Source organism: Homo sapiens, chromosome 10 (genome assembly GCF_000001405.40).
Source record: "Homo sapiens chromosome 10, GRCh38.p14 Primary Assembly".
NCBI classification, from domain to species: domain Eukaryota; kingdom Metazoa; phylum Chordata; class Mammalia; order Primates; family Hominidae; genus Homo; species Homo sapiens.
Window position 1 is genome coordinate 66233581 of NC_000010.11, and position 18922 is coordinate 66252502.

Here is an 18922-nt window from a genome sequence, read left to right on the forward strand (position 1 = left end):
TTATCAAGAAAATGCATATTACAGTGCTCCAGCACTGCATATAGACTAGAATAGTTAAAATTAAAAGGACTGATATCATTGAGTGTTGGCCAAAATGTGGACCAACTTAAAAAGCAATACTATTTCACTTCTGGTGGATTAAACATATATATAAAACTTTGGAACTTGCCGTATCTTCTAAAGCTAAATATGTTATACTTGATGATGATCTAAGAACTCTTCTCCCAGGTGGAATTGAAAATGTACTTAAATGTGTGTTAAAGCACATGTATAAGAATGTTCATAGCAGCATTATTAATAATTGTTAAAAACTTAGAATGCTTTTCCAGTAAGGAAAATGGATGAATCTTTACTAAACAAAATGTCATAGTTGAATTTCACAAACTATTTTGAATAAAATAAACCTGTTGTAAAAATGTACATATGTTCTCTGTTCCATTTATATAAAACTAAAAAATAACAGGCAAAATTAATTTGTGGTGATAGGGAAAAATGACTCCTTTTTAAAAGGTTAATGACTGGGTAGGCACACAAAGTATATTTCTTGTGGTACTGATAATATTCAACTTCTTAATCCATGAATGCTTTCATGGGTGTTTTCACTTTATATAAAGTCATTTATATTTTTTATTTTACACTTCTTTTTACATATGTTACACTTCAACAACATGTTTACCAAATAAATAATCCAAAAATATATATATTTGGTCATAAATCAGGTATGGTTCTTCAACAAGAATCTGTCTCCCCCTACTAAACAGCAGGACTCCTGTGCTCCTTAGAGTTGAAGATACACACATACACACAGACAAACACATTCACATACAGCCAAACACACACATGCCTGGAAAATATTGCTGGATTCAAGATATGTGTGTGAAGGATGATTGAACATTGATCTTTGAGAAACTTTTACGGTTGTTATGCACCCCACATACATAATATATGATTTGTAGTTGCGTGTCTGATATAAAAGATCTAATTTTTATAAAATTGTGTTACAAGTATTTGATTGAGACTGACAACATGAAGTAGGAAATCCTTAAATGGTGACCTACATCCCTAAGGCAGGTGAAAAGTATCATGAGAATCAACTGTTATTTTGCAAGGTGTAGTAACTCAATTTTAAAATGGCCCCCACAGATCCCTTCCTCTTATTATTTACAACTATGCAAAACTCCCTTCTCTTGAGTATAGGCTTGAACTATTAACTTGTTTCTTATGAACAGAATGAAGCAAAAGTGAGAGGTATTTCCGAGATTACCTTCCAAAAGACTGTGACTTTAATCTCCTTCACAGGCTCTTTCTCACTTTCTCATTTGATTCCTGCAATTGAAGCCATCTGCTATGCTGTGTCCTGTTCTTTGGATCAGCACATATGACAAGGAAGTGAAAGTAGTCTCTGTCCAACAATCAGTCTAACAGCCTGAGAAGAACTGAATTCTGTCAATGACCACGTAAGCTTCGAAGCAGACCTTTCGCTTGTTGAGCCTTCAGATAGACAGCAGCCCTAGCTGACATCTTAACTGCAGTCTTGTGACAGGTCCTCAGACAGGATAAGCCAAATTATACCCAGACTGCTGATCCACAGAAAATGAGAGGTAATAAATATCGTTGTTTTAAACCACTAAATTTGGTAGTAATGTTACATAGTAAAAAATAAGAAGTATACAATATATCAAATTGTGCTGCTTCTTTATTTCATGCTTTAAAATTTTATTTCCAATTTTTAGTTTTTAAAGGTATTATCTATGGTATTAAAAATAACTATAAATTTATTATTAAATGTATTTTATTATAGTTTTATTAATATTCTATTACATATAAGATATAATACCAACTTATGGATTTATAAAATTATTTATCCTGATATATAAAATAAATTGACATATAAAATAATTATTTTATTAATCATCATTGTTATTTAAAATAACCACATATAATCATAGCCTAATTATATCTCAAAGCTACCTAATGCCTTCTTTAAGTGACTAGTTTCACATTCCAAAGAAGAGTCAACTAATTTTAAGTATATTTGTAGAATTTTCGTGGATAGTTCTAAGTAGTTTGGTCACATATTTAGTTAAATTGGAAGCAAGTAAATAAGAAAATAGATCCGCCATGAACATATCCGATATTGGAGTGTGAAAGGCAAATACCCAGATAGTTATGATAAAAATGAACAAAGCTATTAATCTGACAATTAATAGGGCCAGATTTAGCAAGATTTCAGATTATGTTTTATTTTAATGTCCATTTATCATTGTCTATAAGATCCAAAGAATGCTCATATACATTGAATAAATTGTCCATCTGTCCTATTTTTTAAGGATGATTTGACTAAAAACATTTTTTCTCACGTCTATTTTCTCATAGTAGCACTTTTGACACATCCATTTCCCATTTTTGGTTTTGGAAAATGAGGTCACTCTACCTATGGAAAAGACAAAGGAAATTTTAAGTCTCTCCCCTTGGGTTGTTTGTAGTCTCATTGAGAAGAAGACAAAGATGTGTATCTTTATCTTCCCTTAATACCTGTAAATTAGGAAAAGTAAGAATGGAAAAACAAAGGAACAAACGGAGACAATGAGATACAGAAAAGCTCAAAGAAAGATAAGTCAGAACTAAACACAAGTTTTCTTATGAATAAAGTATCTCTTCTTTATTTACTTTTATCTTGTTTCCTAGATCAGTTGTCTTACAGAATTAGACCAACCAATTACAAAAATGACAAGATACAAACATATAGCAAGCATACAAATTCTCAGGAAAGCTACACTTGAAACTAGTTATGTGGCAATGAAATAGACAGATTGAATATATTTTGAAGCTGCCACAATTATCTAAATATTTAGTAATATTTAATCTGTAAGATATTTTGGTAGGTTTCCTTGAGGAAGCACAATTTCTTCTTTTTAGAGGGAATGTCACCTGTCAGTTTTTATAAAATATATTGCATTTGGGAAATCTAAAGTCAGAACTATCCATAATTTTTAAGGAAAATGTAAAATCATCAAATCAGTAGCAATTTTATATTTTGTTTCTGAAATTGTTTTCCCACCCTCTTCAACTTTATGATAATTTATCGGGTTTTCAGAGAAAAAATACACAGGAGATACAAAGAAAAAATATTTTTCCAGGTTTATCTTTCCAACATGCTTTTGTTCATTTAGGATTTGTTTAGCTGTTGATTTTGAAAGTTTATTTTTTCATACATACTAGCTGCATATAGTTGATAAAAGCCTCAAATACAGCCAGGCATGGTGGCTCACACCTACAATCCCAACACTTTAGGAGGTCAAGGAGAGAGGACGGTTTGAGCCCAAGAGTTCGAGACCAGCCTAGGCAATGTAGTGAGGCCATGTCTCCACTAAAAATTAAAAAAAAAACTTAAAAAGATTAGCTGGGCATGGTGATCCACACCTGTATTCTTAGCTACTCAGGAAGCTAAGGCAAGAGGATCACTTCAGCCCAGGAGTTCAAGCCTGCCATGAGCTTATGATCACACCACTGCAACAGAGCAAGGTCATGTCTGAAAAACTAATGATCATAATAATAACCCAAAAAAAGAATATGAAATATCTAAATCTATATCCACAATTATAAAAAAGGAAAGAGATTTTATATTCAACCACTGAATATGTATATGGAAGGCAGGATGGCTTCCTCTCTACCCACCAATAGAAAAGTAATGTACAATATTAGCAAAGGTTTGTGCCTTCCCAATTTTCTTATAGCATTCTGTGGCTTGCTACTTGAAACATCAGGGGAATTGTTGTATTTGAAAGAAATAAAATCATAATTGTTAAGATCAAGCAATGGCTTTACATGATGACGTGTATATTTTGTTATTCGATCCTCCTTGGCCCGAAATGCTGACTATTTAATACAAGAGATATTTCTAAGCAATTTGAAGCATGATTGGCTTCAACATTTGCTTTGTACTTTTCTCAGAACACCAAGTACATAATAGAGTTTTGTGATTTTTTTTTTTAAAAGGGGTGTGAATATGTAGTATTACAATTGCAATAATGACCTACAATAGTGGTGATTCAGAAGTTGCCTTTTAGGGCTACGTAAGACTGAGTTCCAACCATAAAAATGGCAGCAAATAAACCAATCATTTAAAAGTGTCTTATAACCATTTTTTTCAAAGTATCAGTAATTTACAAAATTGCACAGCACATTAGTCAAGTCTTGTATTAACTAAATTTAAAATTCTAAATAATCATACAAAGTCCATATCAATGCTTTGATACTTGACATTATGGTACAGTGGGTTTATCATTTATTACAATGAGTTATTTTCCCAAATTCTTGCATCTGTGGTTTCTTCTAAGAAAATAAATTTATTCTATGCATTTTCAAATCAAATCATTTGCTATAAATGATAAATTTTTTTTCTAAATTGTCATAGAAACTATGCTTATTTCAACATATAAAATAATCAAATTCATGCTACTTGAAGGAAAAGACAAGTCCATATTTAAAAGATAGATTTATCTATTAATTAATTACATTTTATTTCAAATCCAAAATATAAAGCAGGTTCACCCTATAGTTTTTGCTTTTTATTCTTTTAATTGGGGAAGCAAAAGTGATGAAATTTAAATATCCAACTCCTGCTTCCTTGGATCTTACTGAGGCGGGGAGAGGGGTACATCAGGTTATAAATATTAAATAACTCAAGTCTGAAAGAAGGGATCTTTAATGAGCAGGAACCCACTGTACAAGCTGAAGGTGATAGTAATTATTTTATAATGTTATAGTGTCATCTTACAGATAAGTTTTAGACACGTTTATTTTATGAGAAATCTAGAATTTCAGTATAATAGTTATTTGAAATTATCAGGTTGTCACAAAAAAAATTATTGTAAACTCAAATTTCTTGTCTTACCAGATTCCAGAAATAGTTGTATAGACAGCCAATAAAAGATTTGCCTTCATAATATTTGTGAAATACACAGTAAAAATAGCATGCGATGACTAACTTAGAGAGCAATAATGAGGGTATGGGTGGCAGACTTAAATGGGAGTAAAAACAGATTGGAGAATAATTTGTATAATCTGATCCCATTTTGGAATACTAATAAATGTCCAAATATATATATATATATAATTTTTTTCAAATATCTTCACAGAAAACACTTGAAATAGTTATCTCTGGGTGATAAGACTACAAATGATTTTATTCTTACATTTTTAAAATATAATTTCTAATGTTTCAATTATAAACATGCATTACTGGATAATTTTTAAGAAAAATAATTGTTTTATGTGACCATGAAGTAAGCATCCTTTGTTTTCCAATGTGAAAAATACTGTCAGTAATACCTTGGTAAGATGAATATGGTTTGTATTTATGAGGAGGTTATAGTTAATGGAGAATCAACAAAGAAACTCTAATGCCATTCAGTAAATGAAATGACAAATGAAATACAGGGTTATATATGACAGCATCTATCAGAAGTATATAATATGGTCCAAGAGTTAAGCAATGGCAAAGGAAAAGAAATAAGAACTATAATATATTTATAAGAGTATTGGAAACATGGTAGTTTTCAATAATCAATTAATCAATTAATTACAATTTTATTTTATAATTAATTGATTAAGTACATTTAATTAGTCAATTGATTTTACAAATAATTACATTTTATTTTAATGCTAAAATATAATTAATTAATTAAATTTAATTACATTTTATTTTAATTCTAAAATATAATGTATGCTAGTCTTCTGCTTTTATTCTTTTAACTTTGGAGATTGAAAAAAGCTAAGGTATGATTATGCCCAATCTTCTGCTCCCCAGTCTGGGGTATATTACCCTTAAAATCAGTGGGTAGACTGTTCACTTTTGCAATGGACTAGTACTACAATTGTCTTTCGATAGCCTCTTTCAGAAACTGTGTTGAAAAAGCCTAATAGATTAGGCACTCTCAACAACAACAACATCAACAAAAACAAAAGCACTTTATCATCATTCAGAAATAAAATGAGGCTATAATTACAACACTAGCAGCATTTCACAGTTTACTTTGAAATTATCCTTTGAGGTGGACATATTTCATATATGTTTTACATGGAACATTTTAAGCATTTCCCTTATGAGTTTCAGGTGGCATTGATACTGGTTTGTTGTTTTTTTCGTATTCTCTTTCAACTATGCGCATTGTTTGGGACAAGACATGTTGCTGTGGCATATGTTACTAGGCTACTTAACTGTTAAATTGGGCATTTTTCCTTGACACAAAATCCTATACATTATCTTTGCCCAATGTGTTTAGTTTAAATTCCTCTGCCCACTATTCTAAAAAAAAGAAACTATAAACACTAAAGTAGAAAACTCTGGCCAATTTATTTTATCTATACCATATAGATGGATCTACATGGTATAGATATCTATGGTATAGATATAATAATCTAGAGCTATATAGATTAATCTATATCTATAGTTATAGATATCCATAAGTGTTAACAAATACATTGCCTACATTGTGTAACTTATATTTTTGTATTTTTATTATAATGGTAATTGATATATCAGCATATTTTAGCATTTATAGCTGCTTAGTAGGAATGTGGGCTATAATTGCCACTTTCTACCTTTCTATTTTCTTAGGAAACTCCAGGATTCTAAAAGTAAAGCCCTATGGAAATAAATCAATAACATTTCAAATGAAGAACCAAAATCGGGAAATGCAAATCACAACTCTAACATCAACATTAACTTATGTAAACGGCTCATTTGAAATTATCACACTTTTTTTCTGTTTATAAAACACAGTTATCTTAACCTTAAGCATTGTATCATCCACATGTTTTCATCTTTGGGCTTCTGAATATGTACTAGCCGGACAAAACAAATAATAGTCTTTATAATACCTACAGATCCCTGTAAGAAACAAATAGCCTACTGGGTTACCAGATGCGCTATAGTACTACAAAATTAAAGGAACAGACTACAAAATTAAAGGAACAGATGCTCTTTGTTAACCTTTTTTCTAACAAAAAATAAATAAAGTTTTAAAAATAGAGATTGGGAGCAAACTCAGAAACCTCACATCTCTAAATATTGGAAAGTTTGAAAAACAGGGATAACTGAAAATGTTGCTTAAAAACATCAAGCTAAAAATGAAGAGAAAATCTTTGATAACAAAGAAGAGAGACATCAAGAACCAAAGGATGAATTTTGAGTAAATAAATATATTGAATGATGTAAACAAAGAACAGTGGTAAGAGTAATCTAAGCAACCTCAAAAGTTTTTTAAGTAATGGAAAAACATTGTTTAGTATTATATAAAATTTGTCAATGCTGTGATTTACAAAAGAAAAGAAACCGTTTAGTCAAGGAGAAAATAACAAGTTTTTAGGAAATAGAAATATAAGGATTTCAAATAAAAATAAGGACAAAAACAATGTTTTGCATGTAGTGACCCATGGATTGCCTTACACATAAGAATGAGAAACTCAGGTAGAGAAGAAGAAAAATGAGCCCTTCAAACTCATTCATACTGAACCAGAACAACCACAAACAAACAAAACCTTAAATATTAATTGTCTTCTTAAAAGGGTTAAAAAAAAACAAAATAAATGCTCATACACAATTGGGTAAATGTAAAACTGGCAAAATTGAGTAAGGTCAATGAAATGTATCACTGTTGATTTTCTGATTGTGATATTGTGCTATAGTTATGCCAGATGTTACAGTTGAATGATACACAGTATGTTTCTATATTTTTTCTAACAACTCTTTGTGAATCTCAAAGTAACTCAAAATAGAAAGTTAAAAAATTAAGGAAAATAAAGGTTGACCTTTTCAATCATCTCAGCTATTGTTCCAATTACAAAGTTAAGTAAATCTTACAAATTTCCTTCAAATGGTCTTACAACATATCTTTGAGGATATTAAGACCTTAGGAGAATATAATCGGAAATCATTTAAAATCAGAAAACTGAGAAATTGAGAAATAATCAAAAGCCATTAGATTCACAAACACAGTGAGACTATTATGTGACTGTGGCCAGAAAAGAACAATTAAACATCCCCCCACCCCCAGCCCCCCCACCTCCTCACGTGAGCTACTTAACTGGGCAATGATATGGCTATAGAAAGAAACCATGAATTTGAATACCAGAGGTTGCCAAATAAAACGAAAAGGGGTAAGACCTAAATAATTGTCTTAAATATTAACCTAAGCAAAAAACCTATGTAAAATCAAATTAAAATATTAAAATAACGTTAGAAAACTCCAAATACATGGGAATACTAAAAATCTAATATAACCAAATATAAATCTAAGACCATTCCACTCCTAAAACAAAATACAGGAGAATACTTTCAAAACCTTGGAGCTGCCAGTTTTTCTGTTTTAATTATTATTATTTTTAATTTAGGACAAGACTGCTATGATTTGAATATCTGTCTCCTCCAAAACTCAAGTTGAAATTTAATCCCCAATGTGGCAGCAGTAAGAGGTGGGGCCTTAAGATGATGAGTATGCTCAGCCCCCCTGCCATGTGATTCCCTGTGCCACTTCAGAACTCTGCAGAAAGCCCTCATCTGCAAGAAGACCCTTACCAGATGTGGACCTTTGACCTTGGACTTAGCCTCCATAACTGTAAAAAATAAATTTCTTTTCTTTATAAATTACCCAGTTTGAGGTATCCTGTTACCTGAAACAACAGAAAATAGATTAATACAAAGAGAGAAAAAAACAGCATTAACCGTTAAAAATAAAACTAAACTGGATTTCACCAAAATCAGCTTTTCACTTATTAAAAGACACCATTAAGAAAATGGAGAAGCAAGCCACTGACACAGATTGGAGACGAAAATGATATATTGACAGTACGCATATTCAGCAAAGGACTGCTATCAAGAACATACGAAGAACTGCCAAAAGTAAAAATATGAAAAATTATTGATAAAAAAATAAGCAATGAAAAAATGCTCAACATCCTATATGACCAGGAATATGCATATTAAAACCATAAGGAGATACTATTTTACACTTATAAGAGTGAGTAAAATCAAAAGGACTGATAACACTAAATGTTGACATGTGGACCAGTCAGAACCCTTATGTATTGCTCATGGGAGTGTAAAATCGTGCAAATATTTTGGAGAGGAGTTTCTTAAATTAAGCATATATTTAGCCCTCACCCTGGCAATTCATTACTAACAATAAAATTTAAGCAGGAGAAATAAAAATTCCCTTGAATTCCATGAAATAATATGTGTAAGTAGGTACATAGCATTGTTATTCATAATAGTCCATAAAATGAGAAAAGTCTAAACATCCTTTAATAGAAGAATGGATAAATATTCTTGAGGCATGTTAATACAATTGAACAGTGTAAACTTAAAATAAAATTCTAAGCCCCCTAACTGATAGAATGGATCTCCCTTTCAGCCAATGATGTTCTAAAGTAAATGTGAAAAACTAGTTCAGGCCATCATGGGAAGGAGGGGTCAGACATATCTCATTATGCCCTCCTCCCTTTGGAATTCAGGCACAATTGATCAGTGTTAACATTAAAAAAGAGATCTTAAGACTGACCAAACAGACTCTTTGTGGCAATCAGATACATCACAAAATGACATATACCAGGCCCTGTAAGAAATTGAAGTATTTTACCCTGAAATATATTTCTTCGATATATCTTTAAACAGCCCTGTAAAGCTGCCTCTTGTGGGGAAAATCAACATTCTGTAGAGAATTCTCTTCCCTTTCCAGGTCTTTTCCTGATCCAGGAGAGATTAGCTAAGTCTGGTACCTTTTTAAGTCTGATAACAAACATTTGCCCTCTATTCTATCTGAAGCCTGCTACCTGGAAACTTCATATGCATAATAAGAAATTTGGTCTCCCAAACCCCTTATCTTAACCCAGACATTCCTTTTTTTCTATTGATTCTAGGTCTTTAGATAAATTCTTTCAACCAATTGCCGAACAGAAAATACTTGAATCCATCTATGATCTGGAAGCCCCGGCTTTGAGTTGTCCTGCCTCTCAGGACCAAACCAATGTACATCTTACATGTATTGATTGATGTTTTACATCTCCCTAAAATGTATAAAACCAAGTTATAGTCTGACCACCTTGGGTACATGTTTTCAGAGTCTCCTGAGGCTGAGTCATGATCGTGTCCTTAACCTTGGCAAAATAAACTTGTAAATTGATTGAGACTCGCTCCCTTGAAGGGAAGAACCCAGTAACCACCTGTTGACCAAAGAGCCCTTGGGTCCTGAATAACCAGCAGCAATACCCAGGTAGTATGCCATGGACCTTGGGTGAGACTTTGAGACATGCTGGCTTCAGGTACTAGCTCAGTCACAGTGGATTAAAGCACCAAGTGTGCTCTCGAGGTCCCCAATACAAGCCTACACTCTTGGACAGCATTTCTGGACCTGCCCTGGACCAGAGGGGAGCCCACTGCCCTAAAGGGTGAGTCCCAGACCTTGTAGCATTTACCACAAGCTGACTAAAGAGCCCTTGGGTCTTAAATGAACATTGGCAGTGGCCTGGCAGAACTCTCCACAAGCTGATGGTGGTGATGGACCTGGGGAGAGGCTCCTCTGCCTATGGAAAGAGGTAGGGAAGAATGGGAAGGACTTTGTCTTGTGGTTTGAGTGCCAGCTTAGCCACAGTAGAATAGAACATCAGGTAGATTTCTAACGTTTTTTACTTCAATCCCTGGCTTCCAGACAGCATCTCCATCTGGGCCTGCGCAGAACTTTCCACCCGGAAGGGAAGGACATAAACATGGCTGCCTTTGCCACTGGCTGACTGTAGAGCCCTAGGTCCTTGAGGGAACATAGGCAGTAGCCAGGTAGTAGTTACAGTGGGCTTTGAGCAAGACCCAGTGCTGTGCTGATTTCAGGTCTAGCCTAGGGCAGTTCCAGTGATGTGGCCACAGTGGGGCCCTGTGTCATCCCACTTCCAGCTCCAAGTGGCTCAGCTCAGAGAGAAACAACATTTGAGAGAAAGTAAGAAAAGAGAAAAACAATCTGCCTGGTAATTCGGAGAATTCTTCTGGATCTTATCCAAGACAACAAAGGCGGCACATTTATGAGGCTGCAATAACCCTAGTGTAACTGGGCTTAGGGTCCCCGTTAAAGCAGATACAGCTTAAATCACAATGTCGAAGTCATTTTTAATATCTGAAAAGCCTTCCCAAGAAAGATGGGTACACACAAGGCAGACTGTGAAGACTAAAACAAATACCTAACTCTTAAATGCCCAGCTACAGATGAACATTTACAAGCATTGAGACCAGCCAAGAAAACTTCACCAAACACAGTAAATAAGACACCAGAGACCAATCCTGGAGAAAGAGAGATATGTGACCTTTTGTTACGGGATCTTTGGGGTGTTGCTTTTCTGGCCTGAAACCTCTGCCTGGTGGCGCCTTTGCCCAAGTTTTGCTTGGGCGCACTGGGCTCATTCTTCCCACCCTGCCTGGCAGGCTGTGCTCAGCTCACGCTACCAGCCTAGATCCCATGCCTGCCAAGGGTGAGTCAGCAATAGAGCAATGAGGGGTGGGTGAGTGAGTGTGGGGTCCGGCCACTGCTCAGTCAGACATGCCAGCTGCTGCAGTGGGGCAGACAGCTACAGGTGCTGGCTCTCTGCAAGGCATAGTTGAACCAGGCACACTGCAAGCAGCTTCCCTGGCTGGCCCTGGAAGCACATTGGTGCCCAGAAGCTCAGAGACACAAGGAACTACAGAAACCCAAAGAGGGAGTCACAGCCCTGACTCTGGGAGCTCCCAGGTCTGGGATCCCTGAGGGGCCACAGCTCTTCTTCTCTTCTCCTGCAACATGGCAAACAAGGGACATGTTTCAGCCCTGTTTGTGTTAGCTCTTTTAGTTCTGCCATTCAGTGGCTCCCAAGTTCTTGTCCTGCAACAGGAGGAAATGAGGTAGGCAGACAAGTGGAGGGTAAGCAAGATGAAGGGGAATTTTATTGAGCAATATAACAGCTCACAGAAGTCCCACAGAGGGTAGCTCCTTTCTGCAGGCAGGGTATCCTGATGAGTGTTCAGCTCCGAGCACAGAAGAGACCAAGGAGTGGGAAGCTCCTCTCCAGGCAGGTCATGCCATCATTTTGTACCTCTCAGCAAAGAGAAGGCCCTGGAGTGGGTTGCTGTTCTCTACAGCTGATAGTCCTGACTTCTCTGCAAGTTTCTGAAGCTCTCAGCAAAGAGGAGGCCATAAAGTGGGCAGCTCCTCTCAGGTTCTGGTCATACTGACATCTCCCACTCTCAGCAGAGAAGGTAACTACTCTCTGCAGCTGGTCATCCCATTGTCTGCTCACCTCTGGCTGAGACTTTGGCTTTTATGGGCCTCAAATGGGAGGAAGTGTGCACTGATTTGGCTCATGGGCAACCATTGGTGGGCCCAGAAAAGGCACCACAAGTTCCCACTCTAGTCTGTGGGACTGGCAGCCCAGGCCCCAGCTTTCAGGCCCTCTATGGCCCAAAGGTGGGGCCTCACCAGGGATGTACCCCCTTCCACCCAGCAATCTGTCCACCTCCTGCTGTCATTCATGGTGCCTGGGCTTGGCCCTGACTTTCCTCCAAGATCAGAGTGGGCACCACACTGAGAGCAGGGAAAAGCCAGGCAGCAGGAGCAGGCACTTCTGATCCTGAGAGGGCAGGGGGGCCTTCCTGGGACCCCAAGAGTGCAGGGATGTCTAAGTCTGCAGCCATGATTTGGGCAGCCACAACTGCGCCCAGGGTTGGGGGGTGGGGCTCCTGCTGGCTCCATGGAGCTGGAGGTTGGAGTCTGCAGCCACAGTTTGGCTGGCTGCAGCAGTACCCTGGGAGCTCCTGCCCCATCTTGCAAGGGCCAGGGCTCCTGCTTGTCCCCAGCTCCCAGCTGCTCCATGGAGAATGCAGCCCTGGCCATGCCTCCTTGCTGCAGCTGGCATGATGGCAACAGCAGGCAATCTGGAGCAGCCACTGCCATTACTTTCAGAAAATTAAAAATAGCTATTTTGAGAAAGTTCAATGAATTTCAAGATGATAGAGAAGGAATCCAGAATTCTATCAGATGATTTTAACAGAGACTGAAATTAAAAAAAAAAGCAGAAATTCTAGAGTTGAAAAAATGCAATTGACATACTGAACAATGCATCATAGTCTCCTAATAGCAGAATTGATCAAGCAGAAGAATTAGTGAGTTTTGGGATGGGAGCAGTGGCTCATGTCTGCAATCCCAGCACTTTGGGAGGCCAAGGCAGGTGGATCACGAGGTCAAGAGATCAAGACCATCCTGGCTAACACGGTGAAACCCCGTCTCTACTAAAAAACACAAAAAATTAGCCAGATGTAGTGGTGGGTGCCTGTAGTCCCAGTTACTCGGGAGGCTGAAGCAGGAGAATCACTTGAACCCGGGAGGAGGTTGCAGTGAGCCAAGACTGTGCCAGTGCACTCCAGCCTGGTGACACAGCAAGACTCCATCTCAAAAAAAAAAAAAAAAAAAAAATTACTGAGCTTGAAGATAGGCTGTTTGAAAATACACAACCAGAGGAGATAAATGAAAAAAATGTATTAAAAATTGAAGCATACCTATTAGGCCTAGAAAGTAGCCTCCAAAGGCCAAATCTAAGAGTTATCGAGCTAAAAGAAGAAGTAGAGAATGGAAGGAACTTTGTCTTGTGGTTTGAGTGCCAGCTTAGCCACAGTAAAATAGAACATGTGGTAGATTTCTAAGGGTTTTGACTCTAATCCCTGGTTCACAGCTAGCATTGCTGGACCTGCCTGGGGTTTAGGGGAATTTGCTATCCTGAAGAGAAGGACACAAACATGACTGGCTTCACTACTTTCTATAGGATTAGAAAGTTAATTCAAAAGGATAATTTCAGAGAACTTCCAAAATCTACGATATCAATATTTAAGTACAATAGGGTTATAGAACACCATGCAGCTGCAACTGAAAGTGGAATACCTCAACACATTTAATAATCAAACTCCCAAAGGTTGAAAATAAAAAAAGGATCATAAATGCAGCAAGAGAAAAGAAATAAATAACATATAAGAGAGCTACATTACATCTGGCAGCAGGCTTTTCAGTGGAAACCTTATGGGCAGGGCAAAGTGGCATGACATATTTAAAGTGTTGAAGGAAAAAATCTTTTACCCTACAATAGTATTACTGGTGAAAATATCCTCAAGCCTAAAGGAGAAATAAATACTTTCACAGACAAACAAAAGCTGAGGAATTTCATCAACACCAGACCCATCCTGCAAGAAATTCTACAGGGAGTTCTTCAATCTAAAAGGAAAGGACATTAATGAGCAATAAGAAATCATCTTAAGATACAAAACTCACCAGTAATAGTAAGCACACAGAAAAACACAGAATATTATAACACTGTAATTTGAGGGTATAAACTCCTATTTTATGTATTAGGTAATAGAAAAACTCAATGATGAACCAATCAAAAATAATAAAGGATTACATCTTTTCAAGACATAGTACAAGAATACATAAAAACATAAAAAGTTAAAAGGCAGTGAGATAAAGTGTAGCATTTCTATTAGTTTTTTTCTCATTTGTTTGTTTATGCCATCAACTTTAAGTTGTCATTAGTTTAAAATAATAGATTATAAGATAGTATTTGCATGCTTCATAGTAACCTCAAATCAAAATATACAACAGATACACAAAACATAAAAAGCAATAAATTCATCACACCACTAATGAAAATTGCCTTCACTAAAAGGAAGACAGGAAGGAAGAAAAGAAGAAAGAGAAAATCATAAAAAAAAAACAGAAAAAAAATAGCAGGAGTAAGTCCTTATTTATCAATAATAACATTACATGTAAATGGATTAAACTCTCCAATAAAAAAGACATGGAGTAGAAGAATAGATTTTAAAAAACCCACAATGATCTGTTGCCTATAAAAAACATACTTCCCCTATAAAGATAAACACAGACAGAAATAAGAAATAAAAAAAGATACTTCATGCCAATGGAAACCAAAAAAAAGAGTAAGAGTTGCTATACTTATATGAGACAAAGTAGACTTCAAGATGAAAACTGTAAGAAGAAACAAAGAAAGTGATTATATAATGATAAAGAGGTCAATTCAGCAAGAGGATATAGCAATTGTAAGTTTATATGTACCAAACACTGGAGCACTGAGATATAAATTGCAAATATTCTTAGCCCTAAAGAGAGAGACAGACCTCAATACAATAATAGCTGGACACTTCAACACCTCACTTTTAGTATTGGACAGATCTTCCAGGCAGAAAATCAACAAAGAAAACTGGAGGACTCACATTATCTGATTTCAAATTATATTAACACTACAAAGCTATAGTAACCAAAATAGCAAGGTGCTGGCATTAAAACAGACACATAGACCAATGGAACATAATAGAGAACCCAGAAACAAATCCATAAAACTATAGTGAACTCATTTTCAAGAAAGTTGCCAAGAATATACACTGGGGAAAAGACAGTCTCTTCAATAAATGGTGCTGAGAAAACTGTATCTCTACATGCAGAAGAATAAAACTAGACCCCTATCTCTCACCATATACAAAAATCTAAGACTAGAAACTATAAAACTACTAAAAGAAAACATCGGGGAAACTCTCCAGAACATGAGTGTGGGCAAAGATTTCTTGAGTAGTACCCTACAAGCACAAGAAACCAAAGCAAAAAAGAACAAATGAGATCAGATCAAGTTAAAAAATCTTCTGCACAGCAAAGAAACTATCCACAAAGTGAAGAGACAACCACAGAATGCGATAAAATATTTGCAAACTACCCCCCTGAGAAAGGATTAATAACCAGAATATATAAGTAGCTCAAACAACTCTATAGGAAAAAATCTAATCATCTGATCAAAAAGTGGGCAAAAGATCTGAATAAACATTTCTCAAAAGAAGACATACAAATGTCAATGGCAAACAGGAATATGAAAAGGTGCTGAACATCATCAATCATCAGAGAACTGCAAATCAAAACTATAATGAGATAACATCTCACCCCAGTTAAAATGGCTTTTATCTAAAAGACAAGCAATAACAAATGCTAATGAGGATGTGGAGAAAAGGGAACTTTTGTACACTGTTGGTGGGGATGTAAATTAGTACAACCACCATGAAAAATAGTTTGGAGTTTCCTCAAACCTCAAAATACTAAAAATAAGGCGGAGCTTGCAGTGAGCCGAGATAGCACCACTGCACTCCAGCTTGGGGGACAGAGCGAGACTCCATCTCAAAACAAACAAAGAAACAAACAAACAAAAACTAAAAATAGAACTAACATACAATCCAGCAATCCCACTGCAAGGTATATACCCAAAGGAATGGAAATCAGGATGTTAAAGTGTTAACTTCACTTTATAGTAGGCAGCATTATTTATAGTAGGCAAGATTTGGAAGCAACTTCAGTGTCCATCATCAAATGAGTGGATAAAGAAAATGTAGTACATATACACAATGGAGTACTATTCAGTCATAAAAATGAATAAGATCCTGTCATTTGCAACAACATGGATGGAACTGGGAGGTCATTATGTTAAGTGAAATGAGTCAGAAATAGAAAGAAATGAGTCAGGAATAGAAAGATAAACTTCACATGTTCTCACTTATTTATGAGAGCTAAAAATTAAATCAATTGAATTCGTGGAGATAGAGGGTAGAAGAATAGTTACCAGAAGCTGGGAAGGGTAGTTGGGGACTTAGGGGGAAGTGAGGATAGTTAATGGGTACAAAAAATAGAAAGAATGAGTGAATAAGACCTAGTATTTGATAGCATGACAGAGTAACTATAATCAATAATAATGTACTTGTCCATTTTAAAATAACTACAAGAGTACACAATTTGTTTATGACACCAAGGATAAATGCTTGAGAAGGCAGATATCCCATTTACTATGATGTGGTTATTAGGCATTACATGCCTATATCAAAGTATCTCATGTGCCCTATATATAATCACACCTACTATGTACTCTCTACAATTAAAAATAATAATTTTTTTGAACGGCAGGAGCAAAATTTCTTATAGCATCTGGATACACTGCAGCTATAGTAACCTTGTTGTTTTATCATTATCAGTGGTGTCTTTTGCTACCCAATTCAATATTCTATAGCTACTCAACTACTCTTTGTCTATGCTTCTATTGTTTCTTCTCTTGACATGACAAATGCTTCTGGAATTAATTTATGCTTCTTCCTAGCTTTTTCTGTCTAATAATGTCACCGTACTACTGCTTTTTCTCTATCTTTTAGCTTCTGTACTTCTCAAATATTACTGCTATTTATATGTGGCCATTTTCTAGAGGGTAACATAGACCATCAAAGGATCTGATTGAATTGACTAGTTACCATATGAAGTGGAGAATGTTAGTACTGTATGTTCTATACCTCTCATATTGCCCTGCCTTGTAGACCATTGATTATTCCAGATGATTGACTGAATGAGAGGTGATTCCTGCTCCAATAATCCCTGGCTCTGCTTGCAGAACCACATGGAACTAAACACAGTGATCCATGCACCAGGAACCTCTTAGAAGGAAACTGAAAATGTCATGCACATAGAGGCTCTCCAGAAAGAGTATTGTAGTAAGCAGCCATCTTGTGTGGCCTGCCCTAAAACATTCATTTATTAGTGTCTCTTCCATGGACATCTCTTTTCTTACACTGATCAGTCTTTGTATTCATGAAGCAATACCAAATGATTAAGATTATACCTTTGAAATTAAAAAAAAAAATCTGATACTTGACAATGCCTCTCATATTCTTTTACTTTCTGATTTTTCTTAGACGTTTGGTGATTTTGCTTTGTTAGGATGGAATTTTAGTCATTTTATCAGTTTCCAAAAATTCCCCCTTGAAAATTAGATTGGAGTTACATTTTTATAAGTTATTCATGGCTAAATTGGCATCAAAATATTGAATATTTCTACCAAGGCAATTATAGTAGAGTAAAATCCACTGAGCCAACCTCTTGTAATCCAGAAATTCCAATATTTCCACAAGACCAAATTGAAACATAATAGAAAATATCAATAGTAATATGGCTCATATAATAATATTACAGCTATATAATAAATGTTTCATGGTATTTCATTATATCAAAATATTTTTAGAATATAAGAAGTGCTAATTACTCTATTTAACATGATAGCTCAGAAATTAGAAATATCAACATTGTTCAAATAATAAGATAATAACTATTAAGTATTTAATTTGTGCCAGGGTTCCAAGAGCTTAACTTGCATTGGAGCATTTAATCCTCAGTGGGAGATTTATCATCCCCATTTTGCAAATGAGGAAACACTTACAGAGAGTTTAAGCAACTTGCCTAACATAATACAACTACTAAGTGGTGGAACCAGGATTTAAACTCCAGGCAGTTTGATCTAGAGACCATACTCTTAACCATTATTAAGATCAGTCTATGAAATATGAAAACCATCAATTTAATCTCACAGAGTCACTTCTTTGAGACATATGTCAAGTTTTAATATATATTAAGGGCAACTTTGAAAAGAAGGCAGTGTTGATGAGAGTAAAAAAGACAATGATATATATATTATTTACATTGCCCAAATGTTTCTATGATGGTTAAACAAAGTATCAGATACAGCCTTTTAGCTTGACAACGTATGTTTTGTTTTCTTTTTCTTTTTTTCTTTTAGCTGACTCTTGCTCCTCTCAGGAAGAGAACATATTTTCAAGTTTATTTGCCTAGGCATCAAATGTTTAAATATTTTAGTCAATTTCTAATTAAAATAATTACTTTTAATCAACATTTTCTTATATTTCTTTCTCATTTTTAATTTCAGAGCCAGACAATTATGCATTTCTTTAGTCAACAACTAGCTGCTAATTATTTACTATGTGTCAAGTCTTATAATGCTGAAGTGAAGAAAAGAGATTTAAAGTCAT

The 18922-nt window shown here is 35.4% G+C and overlaps 1 protein-coding gene and 1 long non-coding RNA gene across 9 annotated transcripts in view, besides 1 other annotated feature; one reads left to right on the forward strand and one right to left on the reverse strand.

Moving 5' to 3' along the window:
* The window catches only part of CTNNA3 (catenin alpha 3), a 1851072-nt gene that overhangs the window by 321058 nt on the left and 1511092 nt on the right, over window positions 1-18922 (reverse strand). The gene's annotated exons all lie outside the window — the stretch shown is intronic.
* Window positions 1516-18892, forward strand: LOC124902440 (uncharacterized). The gene is made up of 3 exons (XR_007062173.1): window positions 1516-1601; window positions 6623-6735; window positions 18820-18892. It is a non-coding gene; the product is annotated as an uncharacterized LOC124902440 (long non-coding RNA).
* Window positions 8314-8483: an enhancer, noted in NCBI's record as "experimental_15319 CRE fragment used in MPRA reporter constructs". NCBI's record gives its function as "activates a minimal promoter by MPRAs in K562 erythroleukemia cells, with activity observed for the non-introgressed 10:68001737 variant allele {active_cell/tissue: K562}" and the evidence as "EXISTENCE:reporter gene assay evidence [ECO:0000049][PMID:34662402]".